At 36.9% G+C, this 14,813-nt stretch overlaps 1 protein-coding gene across 21 annotated transcripts in view; it reads right to left on the reverse strand.

Moving 5' to 3' along the window:
- FGF14 (fibroblast growth factor 14) overlaps nucleotides 1–14,813 on the reverse strand; it is a 691,640-nt gene that overhangs the window by 504,630 nt on the left and 172,197 nt on the right. For 3 of the 21 annotated variants that reach the window (NM_001321938.2, NM_001321940.1, NM_001321933.1), the window contains one exon: nucleotides 5,264–5,500. The exons of the other annotated variants lie outside the window; for them this stretch is intronic. In NM_001321938.2, coding sequence (NP_001308867.1) covers nucleotides 5,264–5,276 — 13 coding nt within the window. In that variant the 5' untranslated portion in view covers nucleotides 5,277–5,500. The remainder of the gene's footprint in view (nucleotides 1–5,263; nucleotides 5,501–14,813) is intronic. 21 annotated transcript variants of the gene reach the window in all.

Here is a 14,813-nt window from a genome sequence, read left to right on the forward strand (position 1 = left end):
TAAAGTATAAATCTGACATATGTTTCAGGCAAATTGGCTCAGAACTCAGAAAAGGTAAAAAGAACTCTCCTAGACAGCCTATGTTCCCAAATAAAAATTATCTCTAGTTCCTATGCCTGCATCAAGCCTTTCTAATTAAGTGATATTTGGTCCTAACAGCCAGGTTAAACCAACCTACCTTTATGTCAGATCTGAGCCCCTTCCCCACAGCCCACAACCATATTTACCATCCACACTACTGTGTGTGTATGTTTAGGCTATTTATATAATTCTGATTAGAACATTTTGTATCCTTCCTGAGATAATATGCTTTTCAAAAGTAGACTGTGAGTTTTTGAATCATCTGAAACTCTTCTTTTATTTTTGAGTGAAAAAGGGAATAGGGACGACGCTATGTACATTATTTTAGGCACACGTTTCCTCTTCTTAAAGCACTCTTCTCATTCACTGATGAGTAGCGGTTGACTTTGTAATTTTCAAGTGGCCAAAGCAGATGGAGTGAGAGAAAGAAAAGTCAGAGACAGAGGTGCAGCTAGATCCAGAAATGTGAAATGGATCCACAGGAGAAGATGTGCAGACTGAGAAGGTCAGTATTTACAGAAGAGGCAAGAGACTAAAGGGTGCATACAGTTAGGCAGTGGTAGAAAGAAAAACAAAAAACCCTATGAAAGCATGGTAAAAGAAGAAAGGGGATTCGCATCGCTGGGATGTGAATAGAATTTGCAGGTGCTATGCCTGCCTCTCAATCCAGAGCCCAAATCTATTTGCCTCATTCTATACCTCTGAGTAGCTCTGAGATAACACAGGATGAGGTTTGGGAAAGCCACATCATTCTACCAGATAGAATGCCTGGCTTCACCATCTACTAGCCAGATGATCTTAACCAAGTCGCTCAACTCTCCCCAAACTCCATTTCCTCAAAGTGGGGACAATCATTTATTCACAGCAGGATTGAGGTAACATAGGTAAAGAATCAAGGGCACTAGAGAATGTTACATGGAAGGCTCTATGATCACATCACGCGGTATTCTAAGTAATGGAGATAAAACATTTTAACAATAGTAAAAGCAAAATTGAATTATAAACATTGCTTTTTTTAAGATTGGCACATCATAATTTTACATATATGTGGGGTACAACATGATGTTTTGATACATGTGTAAATTGTATAATGATTGAATTAGGGTGATTAGCATATCCTTAAACACTTATTGTTTGTGATCAGAACATTCTAAAACCTTTCCGATAGCTATTTTCAAACATACAACATATCATTGTTAACTAGTCATCCAACTATGCAATAGACCACCAGAACTTATTCCTCCTATCTAACCATAGCTTAGTACCCATTGACCAATTTTTCACCATCCTCTTCCTCCCCTGACCCTCCCTAGCCTCTAGCAATCACAATTCTATTTTCTAAGTCAATGAGAACAACTTCTTAGATTCCACATATGAATGAGGTCATATTGTATTTGCTTTCCTAAACCTGGCTGATTTCACTTAACATAATGTCCTCCAAGGTTCATTCATGTTGCCACGAATGACAGGATTTCATTCTTTCTTATGACTGAAAAATACTCCACTGTGTAGATGTACATTTTCTCTTTCCATTCATCCACTGATGGACACAGGTTGGTTCTATATCTTGGCTATTTGTGAATAGGGCTACAATAAACACAGGAGTGCAGGTATCTTTTTGACATATTGTTTTCATTTCCTTTACATACATACCCAGTAGTGAACATTCTTAATACAATGGCAATTTAAAACTTTATGAGCTAACCACTAATTCCCAGAAAAGAAAACTTGATATTCTCTAAAGAAGACTTTAAAGCAATGCAATTCTAAGATACTCTGGGAGTAAAAAAATAAACTACATGCACACACAGTTTTATTGCTATCTTCTTCCATGGAGAAGAATAAGCCACTATCAAAACGCTCATAGAGACATTTCTGTTCTAAAGAAAACAGTAGTCAAGAATTTAACAGACCCAATCTCAGTGTTACAACAACTGTGCAGAAAATACCTCAATTTACTATTAGCTAAAAAATCATTTTTATATTTTAAAAGATCATTTGCCACAAATGAGATGAATAGGCATTTCAATGCTCAAGACATTACATTTCATAATTATTAATGGGGATCAAATAAAAGCCCACTCTGTGTAATTAAATTGGAATTTAATTTCCCGGAATAGTGGCAAACATGAGAATCAGAGAAAGAAGATGTTGACTCAGAAAAAGAAAAGTAATTAATAAGGATGTCAGAAGTCACCCCTGTTTCACACAACTCCGCAGGCAGAGCAACATGCAACCAACGCAGCAAATGTGAGGTCCACCGGTGAAGCGCTACAGCTGAGATGGCCCCAGCTGAAGTGCTGCCTTGATGAGGGGAGCACTCTGCTGCAGAACTGTGCCAACCAGAGTAAGCTGAGAAAGCCCGGAACACTGGTGGCTGGGTTCAGGACCAGCCCAACTCCATCATGGCTGTGCAGATCAAGCCCATATTGCACAGTAAAAAAAATATGCACATATATTTACAAATTAGTATTTTAAATTGTTTAGAAAATTCCCCTCAGAAGCCAAATTCTGCCCGTTTCAAGAGAGGACTCTCTCTTGTATTCGTGTGCTCCATTTTTTACTAGCACAATCTGCCTTGGGACCTTCATCAATTTTGCTTTGCCCAACTCTGCAAATGCAGTATTGATTCCAAGAGGAAATCAATCTCAGCTTGAAAGAAGATCTTTCATCAAATCCGTATTTTCTCCTCAATGCCAGAGCTCTGCTTGAATAAAAAGCCCTGACCACAAAGCAGAAGTTTCCTTCCATCTGATTTGTTCAGCAAATATTACTGAGAGCTAGAGCTTTGACCACATCAGAATAGACCTTGACTCCACAAGAAAAGGGTCTACCAGGCCCACGCTGGACCTGCAGCACGTGGGAGAGCACAGCTGGCCATGGGAAATTAGAATTTGAGGGGAGAGAGCAGTTTTTTGTTTGGAAACTGTAACAGAAATAGGTAGAATTCCTAGTTGAATTGTGGAGAACTCGGAATCTTCTGGGTGGTTGCAAGAAAACTTAGAAGGAAGAAAATATCAAATATTAGAGGAAAAATCCCATCATTCAGGTTGGTGGTCAATGATGGGGTTCCCATCATTGAATCCCATCATATTTATTTCTATGTTAAAGGGCCACCAAATTAAGCTAGGGTGCCATAACTCTCACCCTTTTTAATCTTTTTCTTTTCGCCTGCATCTATGGCACATCCACTTAATGTCACCACCTTGGGGTGTTTTTATCCTCATTTTTATGCTTACTCATAAAACGATACACTCATATATATGCATTTATATGAATATGTAGTAATATAAACCTGTACACTCTTTTCATTTTATAAACCTAAGATTATAAATTGCTCTCTTAAGAGCAAATTCATTTTTAACTCATCAATTTTCATGTCTGCATAATATTCAAATTGTCCTTTTTATTTTTAATTTTAATTTTTATGGGTACATAGTAGGTGTATATATTTATGCAGTACATGATGTATTTGGATACCGGCATACAATGCATAATAATCACATATCACATCAGGGAAAATGGGGTATCCAACACCTCAAGCTTTTATCATTTCTTTGTGTTACAAATATTCCAATTATACTCTTAGTTATTTTGAAATCTACAATAAATTACTGTTGACTCTAGTCACCCTGTTGTGCTAACTCAAATTGTCCTCTTTTTCTTTTGACATTTTCTCTTGCTTCAAAGCAGCTACACTGGTTGGATAAAAGACATTTTCTGTTTCCTGTGTGGGCCTTTGGGTGTTGCGTCCACTCCCAGCATCTCTGGAGTCTCCCATTGCCTGCTTACATGGAGGTGCATTTTCTTGCCCTACCTCCTGGGGCTGCTACCTCCATGCAATGGTTACCCCAGAGACAGAAGAAGGACTTCTTCACCCAGGACTTGACATCAACCCCTGCTCCCTAGATTTCTACTGCTGAGTGAAATTCTTCCATTTCATATCTTGCTAAAGTTAGTTGTAGAATTGAACCTTCTGAGCTTGTGGAAATTGGTTTGGAATTTGGATATATGATACTTCCAACCATGAAAGAAAAAGTAATATGCTTCAGGCAGAAATTTACAATGTTTACTTTTTAACTTCCTCCTGAAATTGGAAGGCTGGATTACCATTTTGGTGGGGTTCAGCTGTTGAAATTGATACTAAAATATACTCAGTTTATATATCTCAAGCCCCAATTCACAATTCACAGTTCTGAATTCTATTAAATGATCAAAGTGAAGCCAATAATGACAATTGAAAGGCAAAAGATTTTCTTTTAGTTAAGCCTGAGACATGTTCAGAGCTTCTCAAGAAATATGTATTTGTGAAACCTAACCCAGGGACATTACTTGTATTTTATAGTGCGGTTATGGTTGAATTTAATCTTGTTAACAGTAGCATTTATACTAATAATTATCATTGGAAGACTACATTTGTATAAGACTAAGTATAATACAACATAAGTGTAAGTGATGTAATAGTAAGTGATGTAATAATTCCATATAATGTAGTTTTCATATGATAATTATTAATATGAATAATAATATTCCAGTAAGTGACCTTAGATTTCTGGATTTCCATTTTCCCTTCCATAAAAGCTAAAAGTTGGATGAAAATTGAATTTCTAAAATGTCTTCTGTATTTAGTCTTTTTGAATTCTAAACTTTTCTGCTCATACGTCCCAACCCTGTAAGAGAAAAGTGCTTTTACTTGAGAAGAGGCATCTAATTTTTAATCTTATTTTAGTAATTCTCTTAACAAAAATATGTGATTATATTTTTCATTTAAGAATGGAAATGAAAATGTCATATAAGCAATTCACTAAGAAGATAGATTCCAAAGAAAAAATTTCTAAATAAGTCTCACTTCTAGTCATCAACATGATAAACTCTAGATCTACACATAAAATCCAAAATGTGTATTTTATGTAGACATTCCTTTTAAAACACAGAAATTTAAGAAGGACAGCTACATATCTTGAAGTTTCAAGACATTAGATATATTTTTACTTATTGTACTCGCCAACATACAATTCAAAACACTGCAGACGGTTGAAATACTGCCATTATTCTCCTTAGTTAGTCTTCCCTGTCTAATGCACAAAAGTAAAATATTTGATCACGTTCTTGCTTTAAAATAACAGAGTTTTTCAAGGCATTATATACATTTTTCAAAAGCACATTTTCTAGGTTGCTGTACCTTCTCTTGGCATCAAGAGTCACTTCACATGATGTCTGCAAGTTGCATTTACTAATGTGCTCCTTATTGGATTCGTGGCACGCACACCTTCCAGAGCATAAGATTATACAAGTTAACATCAGCCCGGCTGGCTCTTACTCATGCTCATGAGACAGGCCTGTTGGTCTCAGCTCAGCCTCTCTTTAGCGGTATAATCTTGGACAAATCACTTAATCTCCTTGACATTCCTCTTCCTGTCTGTAAAATAAGGAAATGCACTACACAGGGGTATTGAGATAACAGGTATAAAAGTGAATGACAGTTTAAGAGTACTCTGTAAATAGGTTATGGTAGCATTAACATTCTTCATGTTAGAAGGAGAGCGGACATACAACAGATTCTGTGAAAGAATGTTTCCCAAGAGCCCTTGCTTGCTTTTCAATGTTCAACTAACTCTAGGTACTCTAGCAATGCAAATAATTAAATAACAGAATATTTACAAACATATCTATGTGATTTTAGGCAAACTGCATTATGGAGACAACTCTTATCAAAAGAGAACTAAATTTGGGGATTAAGTGATTTTTTTTCAGATGGAAATTTAATGAAATAAATTTGAAGCCACAGTTATCTAATGAACACAAACCCACCAATACCAAAGGACGGAAGGTTAAATTTTAGAAAATTTAGGTCTTTTAAGAAAACTGAGTGAAAGAAGAAACTAATTTGATAAGATGATAAATCTAAACCCATTTTCTATCTCTGCTCCACAGAAAGGGATCCGAAAAACAAGCTAGAATCCTGTCCTTAAGGAGCTGAGTACTTGAGAGGGAGAAATTTCTTTTAAAAGGAGACCGCATATAATAGAAACATGCACAGCCATTTCAGCCTTTCAGAATATATGTTTGAGGGCTGGGTTGATATGAATGACATCACACAAACACACAAACACACACACACACACACACACAGATTTTAAGTGAAAATGTGATCACAAGCTCTTTGAACTAACAGATAATTTACAAAGAGGTGAGATGAAAGTCATGTTGAAGTTCAATTGCAAATGTAGAATTACAGTGCAATAAACATTTGTCAAATTTTTAAATTATTAATTATTTTATGTCATTGCTTAATTTCCTAACTAGACTACAAGTTCCTTGAAGGTAAAATTCTTGTCTTTTGTATTTACATTTCCAATACTAACTAAAACAAACTTGGCATCTAATAAATAAGTGTCCACTGATTGTCTGAAACCACTTAATTCTGTAGACACTAGAAATTCTATCACAGATTAGAAAATGATTAGGAGTCAGAAATTGTTTATCTTTAGCAACAATACTTTTTGATTCTCAAAAACTGGTACTATTATGAAACTTATTATACACCTCCAAATCCTCCTTACCCCATACAGTCTTCAGAGACTATGAAGCTCAGTCTCACTCTGAACACAGAATATAGCAAAATGCCTGTCTATAGCATCGTAAGTATGTAGTAAGTATTTGCTGAATTCATCCACTGCTATTCCTAGGGTTTTTCGAGGACTTTGTTTACACTGTTATTATAGCACTTACACTTATGTGTATTATACTTAGTCTTATACATGCCATTTCCCCTAATTTGATTGCTAGATCTTCTGGCAGGGTTCATTTTATATTCAGCCTTGCACTAGCACAGTGTTTGGCAGACATCTGGTCAACCATTATTTGTTTGACAACGTATGTAATTTTGAAAGTTGAAGGCATTATTAAAGACATGCACTGCAGCCTTATATCAAATTAAGAAACCTTGACCAATGGTTTGCCATCGCCAGCTTAAATACCTCCAGTAGTCATAAGCTCCTAAGGCAGTCCTAGTTATTACAGAGAAGGGCATCCCTAGCTGTTAAAGAATTCTCTTTTGAGCTGAAATAATCTTCCTTGTACCTCCTTCCCACTGGTTGTAACTGTTAAGAAAAATGCAGAATAGCTTGTTCTACTACTTCTAGAGGATACTCTTTTAAGATACAGGTCAGCAATCCTGTCTCACTCAGGATGTTTCTTCCCCAGGGTAAGCATCCCATTCTCCTTGAGTAGTCTTTGTGGTTATCCTGCTCATTCTTCATGAACACACACTCCTCTAATCAATGTCCTTCTCGAAATACAGCATCAGAAATGAACATAGTCCTCTAAGGGAATCTGTCCAGCCCGAAGTGCTGATTACATACCAAAATCCAGGTCAAGGCCTCCATTAACGCAGCCCAAGACCCTACTTAGGAGAAAATGGAGGAAATATAATGAAATCATATTTTAAGAGACTATGTAGAAATAAGCTCTCAATAGAAGTCTTTCATCATCTATCGGGATGCTATCTGGGTCAGTTAAACTATCCTGGAATATGCTAGCTTTCACTTTGTTTAAAACCTCATTTTCTACAGTTCCAAATATAGGTTTCAAATTACCTAGAGAAAAATCACCCCAGAAAAATGCTAAAGTCACAAGTTCACACTTTTACCAAAATTTAGTATGAGTGGGGGCAAGGGTGTATGTAAGACCACTTTACTAAAAAATATGGCTGGTGACTCTGAAGCAACATCAGTGACTAGCTAGACATAGAGACAGGTATCTGGTTTGGGGAAGAGGGCAATGCACAGAAACTGGGAGCTTGTCAGTTCAAGAGTGAAAACTGTCCTGGCTACTGGAGATCCAAAAGGCACCAAAATTATTTATTTGTAAATCCTCCCAATTAATTCCATTTTCAGTGCTGCCCCTGGGATCACTGCAAGTACTCTTGTCAGCTTTGTGGTTTAAATATTATTTAAGAAGGACTAGAATTTTGTTAGGCTCCCTCTTATTTAGATTTGATATGATAGTTTTATTCTGCTTTTTTCCTCTGCATGGTGACAGTTATTTACGATGGCCTACGGCTTTCAGAAGGACTTTTGGTCTATGGCTTTCAGAAGGACTTTACTCCACTTTTGAAACACTTAAAAATCAACAGGGTCTTTGCCTATATTTTCTATCTACTGTCATAATTCACATTTATCCTATCTGTTTCAATCTCTGTAAATATCTATCCCAAACGTTGCTACCACAGTTTACCAGCATAACTTATAAAATGTTCTGCCCTAGAGCCCAGGAGTTTGAGGCTGCAGTGAGCTATTGTCATGCCACTGCACTCCAGCCTGGATGACAGAGCAAGACGCTGTCTCAAAACAAAACATCCTAATTTAGAATATTATTATATTAATCTTTTTTAGTTTTCATTCTGATATAAATGACAGAATAACATAATGGTAATAAGAACTTGAATTGAGTTACAGATTAATCAGGATGGTGAGAGATACGTCTCTACAGCCTCTGAAATGGCATTATTTTTCTATCATTTGGCTTCTCTTTTCATACATAAACACGTATAAACATATTGTAACTAATAAAGATATTTGGTTGTGAAAAAGTAGAAAGATTATTTTCATCATATAACTTTTTCCTATCATTATTAATAGTAAAAATTAAATAAAGAAAACATATCTCCAAAAGGCTCTCTCACATTACTATGCATTCCAACAGCCCTTGGATGAAAGTAGCTCTCCCCCGTATTACATCGGCAGGGTCTTTGCAGGGCTTGCAAAGAAACACCAGATTAAAGGAATTTTTAGTGTAAAAATTAGTAATAAAAATGTCATTTCAGTATCAGATCTGTGGTGGAGAAGTGATCTTTTCCTAAGAAAGAAGATATTTCATTGTACTGTGTAAAACCGTGTGCTCAGGGTTATAGGGGTGTCAACTTTTTGGTGCACCATCATGTTATAGATTCGAATGTCGCTATGCTGAATTAATAGATCCCATTTATCATTACCACAAGTTGTCCTAGGACAAAAAGAGGGCAACATTCAGGGTCCTATCCAACTGAAATTGACAAAAAAAATAATTTTAAAAAGAACCAAGGATTGCTGAAGACAGTATTTCTAGATGGTAACTTGTGTCATGTATACCAAATAGATTTTAAACTATTCAATATGCTGCTAAGTATCCTCATGTCTCTGAGCCTAAAGAAACTATACTACATAATGTATTTCCATCAAATATAAGACATTATATAATTACTCAAACATTAGCTTTAGTTTTATCCCTTTGAGCAAATACCTTGATGAACAATAATCATGGCTGTCTTAAAAGATGCCTCGAGGAGGAAATGTTTAACACACTGTAATCTAAGTTGGTGCACTGAACTGCAACCTCGTCCTCAATGCTGAGCCATAAACATTTTACTCTCTGCTTCCCTTCCTTCACAGAAATGTTCTAAATATCTTCCCTATGCCAAGCCCCCAATTCCCAGCAGAATTCCCTGAAGAGGAGCCCTTCTGAGGGTCACAGTCGCAGCCTCTCCCCAAAACAGCACATGCTTCCCCACGTCTCAGCCCTGTCTTACCTCTTGATTTAGAAAGCTCTCCTCCTCCACGAGAGCTCCTCCTCCTGTGAGTTTTGTCCCCCAGGCCTTCAGAGCTCTGAAACCTGCTTCCTTCTTTGCAGCTCCTCTTTCAATCCCTCTCTCTCCCTCCTCTCTTCACTGGCCTTTCCCCTTAGCCCATGGACAAGGCCTTGAACCCCAAAAAAATCTTTCTTCAACCCTGACTTTCCCCTAAATCTCCAGTACTTCAACATCCACCTCTTCAAGGTGACATTGCTAGACAGAGTAACTATACCTCCACTTTTAACTACCCGCTCATTCAGGGCTAGACCAGGCTAGCCCTCCGGACAGGCTAATTATTTCAAGCCCTTTCAAACCATTATTTTATCTTCCTTTATTTTATGCTGCACTAGAGAAGACAATTTTTATGAATGCAAATTGTATGTCTCTCCATCAGTTCAATAAGGGATTTATTTCATGAACTAAACCTATGCTGTTAACTGATTTAGAATTGTCCTTGATTTTGCTCATTTCCAGTCACCTCTAACTGATAATATTAGGTCCCTGAGTATACATTAAAGGCAGAAGAAAATTACAGATTAGAAGGCTGATTCAAAAATGTTTATAAAAACTGTTTTGACTCTCAGCTCTGCAAAATATATCTTCTTTTTGGTTTTCTATTGCAATATTACAAACCAGACTACTTCTTGGAGACATATTAAAGCAATTAACATTTAGGTAATGAAGTAAATTATATTTTCCTTGAAAACAAGATTCTGCCATGCATCTTTTCAGTTACAGGATGTACATATTGTAACTGACCACTTGCAGAAACTGTCATTGAGATAGTCCCTGAGCTGAGGTCGTGGCCGCATATTTATTCATTGTTTCAATTTGTGAAAGCATCCTTGGAAGAGTTTTTACCTGTCCACTTAAAGTTCTTGGCAACTTCAGTTGACATCGACATTGACATTGAATTGACATTGGGTTAATTATACTTTGGTTCACGCGTGTTGCAATTTCCTCCAAATGATAGTGCACCAGGAAGTCTGCCAGCTGGCCCGTCCCTTACAGCACACTTCCTAAGATGCTATATGTGGTGGTTACAAAGGTGGGCTCTTCAGCCAGATGGCCTGGGTTTGAATCAGAACTTGGTCATTTATTGGCTCTATGATCCTAAGGTAGCCATCTGACTTTTCCATGCCTCAGTTTCCTCCACTGAAAAATGAACTAATGCTGAAACCTATCTCACTAGAGTGTTGTGAGGATTCTAGCTAATAGACCAGGAACAAAGAAAGAGCTCCATAAATAATAGCTAGCTATGCTAATTTTAAAGTTATCCCATTTATCTCCTAAAACTATTCTTACTGCTGTCTGTATAATGCCTATTTCAATATTCTTATTTTCTTATTCTATTCAATTTTTCACAATAGATAATATTTTGGAATGTAATATTTTTGAGATGTTCTTCAACATTTCAGCTTCAATACTTCAGCAACAATGCTTCCTCCTGGCTTTCCTCTTATTTTTCTGAATATTATTCAGTCTCCTTTTGTAAGTTCTGTCTTCATCTCTGAAATCTGCTTATTCTTCCAGTTTTTGGCCTTTTAGTTCTCATTGTACCTGATCTCTTTAGGGAACATCATCTACTCTCTTACAATTACCACTTTGATTATGATGGTTCTCAAATCTATGTCTGCAGCCCACTTAAGCCAAATCTTTATTTCTAACACTGTCAGCACATTTTCTCATGAACAGCCACCAGAATTCAATTTATCAGTTTAACCACACATTCTACCTTCCTTCCTCTACCCCCTTTTCAAACCTCTCTTCTTTCTGTATTTTCTACAGAAAATGGTTAATGGTACCAATTTTTAAACTTGACATCCTAGCCGGGAACATTAAGATCATATTTAACTCCATTTCCTCCCCCAATATACATTTAAGAGCCACTTTTCCTATATTCTATCAAATTCCTGGAGCTTATTTTCAAACATGACTGCCTGTCTAGTCCTGGCCATTTTTCTTCCCAGTTTAATATTTAATGGATTCTTATTTTTCTCAAAATAAAGCCTATATTATTATTATAACACTCAAGCCCTATCTCTTTCTGCCTCCCATTCCATCCAACTAGGGAATCCTATAGGCTACTCCTTTAGGGCTGTTACATACTCTCTTGCTTCATGGAATTTTTTTCTTGCTTTTTCTCAGTTTGGAATGTCCTAGCCTATCCACCTGCCAAGGGAGATCTACTTCTTTTTTCCTCCATGCAATGCTTAAATGTCTCATCTTTCCTAAGCCTCTCTTCCAGTCAAAATTAATGACAAAGATTTGGGGCACTTGCCTTTATTCTATTTTTTAATACTGGGTCTTCCTCTCCTACTATGTAATCTCTCTGAGAGCAGACACAAAATTGTGTACATTTTTGTCCCCTATGCATCCCCACCCTGATGTCTATCACAAAGACCTGTAGTAGGTATTCATGTTTCGCAAACATAATTATGATGTGTACACCATGAATATTACTCTACATCACACAACTCTATGCAACGTCAGTCATACATCTTCTAATGCAAAGTTTTACTAATACTTATCTATTAATAAAACTACATTATTTATACTCTGCCTTCCCAAAAGGACTTCTTGCCACGTAGAATAATAGATACAGGTAATATAAAAATACTAAGTATGAAAGAAGGAGAGTCCTCAGTAAAGGGGATGAGGAAATGTAGGATTCTGTTCCTCCCATTGTGTTCGCAGAATAACAGGTGGGTACTTTCAATCAAGCATACATACCATCTGGCGTCTTGTCTGCTGAGCTACGTAAACCACCCGCCTTTGTTTTACATCATATATTGCATGCACCACATTTTTGACTCTCAGACACTTCCAGATTTATTTATTTTAAATATGTTTACCAAGGGAAACTCTGCATATGATACTCTTCATTCCTCATTGAATAACAGCCAAGTTTTCTTATTGAACGTTTATGTTGACCAACATTTTCTTTCATGTTTGCTAACTGTGAAATGGCAAAACGGAAACATGCTCTTTTGATTTCTTCCTCATGGCAGTTTTCCCTGTTTCAAAGATTTGTTTTCATCCAAAATGAACGATGTTAACTTTATCCCACTATATTTATCCTCAGGTATGTTGGACAGTTTTTCTTCTCCACCAACACAAAATGTAGTTTCTAGTTTCTCAACGGTAGCTTTAAAAAATTAAGATACATTCCTATGTGGTAGGGGGTGCCATTTAGGAAATGGTGAAAACGAAACAAACAGAACACTAAAGTCAATCAAAATCTCATTATCTTCCTCTCTAACACTGAAGGTGCCCTCTGCCCCTTAAACTTACTCAGAGGTATTAATTGAATAGCATATGATTAAAGAAGCTTGAAACTAAAATTGCCTAATGAATACTTAATATCCTTTTCCTTGAGATTGAAAACAATGTTCTCCTATCCATTCATTCATCTATCATATTCAATTATACTAACATTATCTGTACTCACTGATCCTTTCTTAGGCACCAAACCCTTTGCTAAGTTTTTTGTTAACATTATCTAGTTTCATATTGAAAGTACCCCGAGGAGTTGGCTATAATAATTCCCATTTTACAGATAAGAAAGCAGAGGCTTAGGGAAGTCAAGAATCCTCCTGTTATTGCACACTAAATAAATGCTAGTATCAGAATTTTTGTTTCAGTGATTCTAAAAGTGTGCTCTTAACAGTTCTGCTATACTGTCTTCTAAACATAGCACACCTCTGTCCTATGCAAGCTGAATATTAAAATATAAAACCTCCTCTTCCATTGTTAGGTATATTTTAAGCACAGTCTCGAATATATTTTGGGTTGATTTAAACATACAGTTCTCAAGACTACTGAATGTTGTCTTCTCTCCTCCTAACATCATTTTATTTTAATGTTCCTTTATTTCATATTCTCACTTCCTTCTGTATTGAGGAAGCAGAATATCTGTTTTTCTTGGCTGCATCTTGAATGGTTATGCACCCCAGGGAAGATGTCAGAGTCCAACCTTGCCCTAACACGTAGAAGACCTAGAAGGAGCCAGTGCTGCCTGGGAGTTCTCACTCACAGCAGACTTTGTGAGTTTTGTGGATACCCTACGTTTGCTAGACTCCAAAATCTTACATGATTACATTAAGCTCTGTTGTCCTAATTTCATTTAAATCATGCAACCAACAAGAGTATTAATAACTAATGTTTACTTAGTACTTAAGACATGCAGGACTCCATGCAGAAAATCTCACATGACTTTTACAACTTCATCCCCACAACAAGCTTACAGCTTAGAACGACTATTATCACCGTTTCACAGATGATGTGTGGCGCAGAGACATGGTGATGAATAGGAGAAATGAACTTATATTTTGTGGGCACTGTCCATTATTCTTTCCACTATTTCTTGCTACTGGTAAGGGTAGGTATAAAAGATCCTAAAGTTGTGACTAATGAGGATTTTCATGGCAGACAACTGCCTCTACCTCAACATGGGCTGCTCTCTTGGCTTGGAAGACACCACTCTCCTGGCTGTCCTCTTCCCTCTCTAGTCCCTCCTCAGCCTCCTCTTGTGGATTCTCCTTCTTTATTCTACCTCAAGGCTTCTCAGGCCTTGGTCATGGTTAATAAAATAAGTGTTGCATTTCCAACAGCTAAGTGTGTACTTACCAATGGCTATAATTGGAGATTTAGGATTTAATGAAGACTAAAGGAGTTTTAATTCCAAATTTTCCAGATTAACTCTGAATTGTGACAGTGGACAGATCAGAGGTGAACTTAGGGTGAATTATTTGAGCATGCTGTGGAAGGCTTCCTCAAACTGAACAGCCTTCTGTTATTCAATTCATTAAATGACGATTCTATTCCAGGCATTGTACTAGTCACTGATATACTGCTGTGGTCTGAATGTTTACATTCCTCCAAAATTTACGTATTGCAATCCTCACCCCCAAGGTGATGGTATTAGGAGGTGGGAATTTGGGGAGGAGATTGGGTCAAGAGGGCAGAGCCCTCATAATTGGAATTAGTGCTCTTATAAGAAGGTCCGAGGGAGCTTGTTTGTTCCTTGCACCATGTGAGAACACAGCTAGAAGTCACTGTCTATGAGGAGTGGGCCCTCATCACACAGCACTGAATCTGCCAGTGCTTTTATCTTGGACTT

Source organism: Homo sapiens, chromosome 13, assembly GCF_000001405.40.
Source record: "Homo sapiens chromosome 13, GRCh38.p14 Primary Assembly".
NCBI lineage: Eukaryota > Metazoa > Chordata > Mammalia > Primates > Hominidae > Homo > Homo sapiens.